Genomic DNA, 4,525 nt, shown 5'->3' on the forward strand with positions numbered 1-4,525 from the left:
TTGGGAAAAAAGGACATAAGGACACAATGACAAAGGATCAGCTGCCTGAAATGATGAACTTTTTGTATCATATATCAGCCAAGTAATAACAAAACAGACTAATATTTGAACCTGGGTGTTGAAACAGCACTTGGGAGCAGCCTCAACACTGAGCACTAGTGCTATCATAGGAAACAGAGCAATCACAACTAGAGGCAATCTCTTGACATCCATTTAACCTCATGCTATTGGCAAAGGAGGACTTGACAAATTTAGAAAGAAGCAATAAAATCCACTGAAGCAGCTAAATTATCTGCTAAGAGACACTGGAAACTACCTAAAATGAGGTTATAAAACGGAAATGCATTCCAAATCACCTTGCAGCAGTTTGAAATAAACATTTTCTGCAAAGTTCCCCTGCATTATCTATCCTTACATTTTCAGCATGCCATTCTTGAGATCCTAAGGCTAGTGTTTGGCTTTCCTAGTCTACATGCTCTTTTAAATTTTTTTTTTTTTGCCTCTACATAAAAATTTATTTTTTTCTCAAAAAGGTTGTTTTTGTGCTTTAGAACCTTGCCTTTCAGAATATAAGATATCAAAATAAATTTTTATAGTGAATCATATTGAGTCAAATTTTGGTTGTTCTCTTTCTAATGAAGAAAATGGTGCTTTGATATTATGATGATTCATATCTAGTTGTCTAATAAATGGAGACAAATAGACGGATATATTAGCTGTCTGCTGTAAAAATAAACTCCGAAATAAACTCAGTGATGTAATATAATAGTATTTATTTCTCGCTGCCCTAGATCATTCCACATATTCATTCAGAAACTCAGGTTCCCATCTTGTTCCTCTGTCTTTTTGAAGGGTCTTGAAATATTCTGTTAAATTAATAGATGGAGAAAGAGACTACTGGAAACACATACATCTATACTCACTTCTTAGCCATTTCTGAAGGGTCTAAAAGTAGCATACATCACTTACCCTCACATTCTATTGGCAGGAACTAATGGCATGTCTCCACTTAGATGTAAGGGGGCTGGGTGGGAGCTGAAAATATACAGTTTTGGGCTGGCTAGCCACTTCCTAGGGCAAAAGTACTTAATGGAAAGGGGCCACAAATATTAAATAGCTAATAATTACTCCATACATAATAATTTTATAACAAAATATTTATTTTAACTTTATTAAATATCTGTTACATGGCCTTCCCTAAATTCATATCTGGCTCAACTATGGTTTCCCCAATAATCCAAAGAATTTAAACCTACACCAGTATTAATGACAACAGCTTTCCTAAGGCCAAGATAGCCTCCTCACAGATCACAGTACTTTTCTTTTTACATGTTCTCTGTGTTCTGCATTATCTTTATTTGGACAGCTTAAACTTGTCTTTTGTGAATTACACTTTTCCTTAAATCTGACCTTCTGTTTGTAGCATTCTTGAACCTCTCTAGTTTATATTAATCCATCATTTCTCTCTTTAATGTTATTTTACACCTAACCTTTATCTTGGTTCACTACAGATTTGTTTACATGATCATATTACTAATTTGTGGTCAGTGAAAATTATTACTTATATCTCCTATTAGCCTTTCAATTTTCTGGCTGTGTGGATGATATATTAGTGTACTAAGTCAATGCATTCATGAGTGAATTGAATGAATGAATTTAATAAACAAATATGAAGACATAAAGACAGTTCTAACAGCTTAACAGTTAAAAAAGTCTATAAAATTATTTCTGAACAGCATGTTGATTTTAATAAGGAGAAATATACACACATATACGTATACACTTACAATAATTTCCTGCCAAGCCAAGTGAACTTAGACACTACAGACCTAATTTTTAATTTTAATTACCTTGAGTGCTGCCTGGATTTATTAATATGTGTGTGTGATGTAGTTTGAGTATTTGTCCCCTCCAAATCTCATGTTGACATATGATCCCCAGTGTTGGAAGTGGGGCCTGAAGGGAGGTGTTTGGGTCATGGGGGCAGATCACTCATGAATGAGTTAGTGCCCTCCTTCCAGTAATTAGTCCAAGTGAGATCTGGTTATTAAAGAGACTCAGACACTCTCTCTCTCTCTCTCTCTCTCTCTCTCTCTCTCTCTGTCTCTCACTCCCTCTCTTACCAAATGACACACGTGCTACTCCTTTGCCTTCCACCATGAGTGAAAGCTTCCTGAGGCCTCACTGGAAGCTAAGCAGATGCTGGTGCCATGCTTGTACAGCCTGCAGAACAATGTACCAAATAAAACTCCTTTCTTTATAAATTACCCGATCTCAGTTATTCCTTTATAGCAACACAAAACAGACTACTACAACACATGTACATGTAGGCACATTTAAACTAAAAATATATGTACAAGTAGGGAAATATATGCTGCTCTTTAAGAGAACACTTTGAGGTTTGGGACTTAATAGAATGACATTTTCACGATTAGCTCTAAGTCATGAATGATATAATAAATTTACATTGCTAGAAATAATGTTATCAGTTGCCTTATAGAAATACTGAATTCTAATTGAATGTTATATAATATTAAATCCATATTGGTTATATTTTATTATAAAATGTGTTCACTCAATTTTCTCTTTCCTGAAGAATTTTTCTACTACTTTACCGAATACCTACTGTATAATAGGGACTTTATACATTTTATACATCCCTGCTCCAAATTTACAATATGTCTATTTTCTGTAGAAGAAAGTTGAAAGCCAGAAATATTTGAAAAGTTTATTAAATTTTACAACTCCTAAGTGTAGGGAAACAATTCTCTACAATTCCTTTAGATTTCTATAATCAATGAAAAACTGCTTTGTGCTCAGCCCCTAAGCAAGAAAAGGGAGATCCAGCACCATACTGAACCATTGGGTTTTGGAGACACAACATACCTAACTGGGGAATTCTACTTGAGCCTTTATGTCAGTCATCTTGAAAACCAGCATTTTTAGGAAGTCTGAGTTGAAAGCTGTCTAGCAAGCTGTGGCATTCTTTCTATCCTCCAGGCCCCACAGCCCTAATGAGCCCTTTAAGCTCCATGTATTTGTGATTATGCTAATTATAGTCTCTGACAAAGGAAGATGCCTCTTTGGGTATTTGTCACCACTCAGAAGCAGCTATCAAGTAAAACACTTTAGAGAGACAGCCGTTAGCTTGCTATTGGGTCCTGACCCATATTACCCTTGGGATTCTTTATTTCAATGTTCCCATTTTAAAGTGAGGCAACTGAAACTCACCCACTAACAATGTGGCAAAGGCCCAAAAATCCGTGTTTGTTACAAGGAAATAGCATATAAAAGAAAACATGTGATTAGGTCCCAGCAACCCTCAATTTTATATGAAATGCAGCAGCTGACTCTTGGGGGAATTTTTTTTTTCATTTAAAACTTTTAATTTTTAATTTTTGTGGGTACACAGTTGGTATATATATTTATGGGAAATATAGGATATTCTGTTGTAGGCATAAATGTGTAATGTGATTACTCATTGTACATCTGTGGAAAATTTTATTCCCCTCTCCATAATCTGAAGTGTAGCCACTGTACTCTGAATAGCTGGTCCTGGTTCACTGAAATTTTGGCTATGCTGAGATCCAGTGGTTGGCAACTGAGGCTGGGGCCACTCCGTAAAAATGGATCTGGTCACTTTGTTCAGTGGAGAAAACTCAAGATCATCCTTATAGCTTTGGCCCATACCCCCATTCATAACCCTGTTGAATTTATCTTCTGGCTCTTGGGCTGTTGCCAATGGCCAGTCTATTTTTTTCTTCTACTTGAAAAATTACTGGACAATTAAATGCAACCCCTTTGGGGCTGCAAATTGTGGAAATAAATTGCTGCTTCTATCAAACCATCTAGTTCACTCATGCAGATGCTTACTAGAGGGGCCTATTCTCTGAAGAAACCAACTGGAATCAAGCTGCTGAATGAGTCTACACCAGCCAGAATGCCACCATTGCTACCTGGACCTATCATTGCACTAGAAATAGCATCACATCCATCATCATAGTCTGAGCACAATGTAAATGACTTTATGTTTCTGATCAGAGTCTATCACTGTATATGCCAGACTTATCACTCCTTTCAAAAGTCAATTCCTTTGGTGGTGAGAAAGACTACATTGAATAGCATGTTGCCTTCATCCACTCCAGGATGATTCTTTACCAGAATATTTTGACTTTTGATTCAATTTTTTAAAGTGGCATTTTATGATGACTTGAGGGTTTGCATATTCTGAGCTATATTTCCAAATCTCTTATTTACTTTATGCATGACTTCAATAAAATCATCTTATATTTTGTTGGCTTGATTTCTACATCTATATATAAAATTTCTGTAGTGTCCTAAAAAGAAGTGCTGAATACATCAGTATCAGTGATGTTTTAAGAGAAAGAAGGAAGCCATTTATGTTCTACCAGAATGATGATAATGCATCCTCTAATAATCTCTAAACAGGGTAGATAAAAAGAATAAAGTTAAACTAAAGCTGAACATATGCTTACCCTATGTTCCAATAATTACATTCCCTGCT

General features: G+C 35.7%; 1 annotated feature.

The window, feature by feature from the left end:
• Positions 2,808-3,313: an enhancer, noted in NCBI's record as "NANOG hESC enhancer chr6:95865708-95866213 (GRCh37/hg19 assembly coordinates)". NCBI's record gives its function as "activates a minimal SCP1, AML or CMV promoter by ChIP-STARR-seq in primed H9 embryonic stem cells {active_cell/tissue: H9 hESC(primed)}" and the evidence as "EXISTENCE:reporter gene assay evidence [ECO:0000049][PMID:30033119]".

This window comes from Homo sapiens, chromosome 6, assembly GCF_000001405.40.
Source record: "Homo sapiens chromosome 6, GRCh38.p14 Primary Assembly".
NCBI classification, from domain to species: Eukaryota; Metazoa; Chordata; class Mammalia; order Primates; family Hominidae; genus Homo; species Homo sapiens.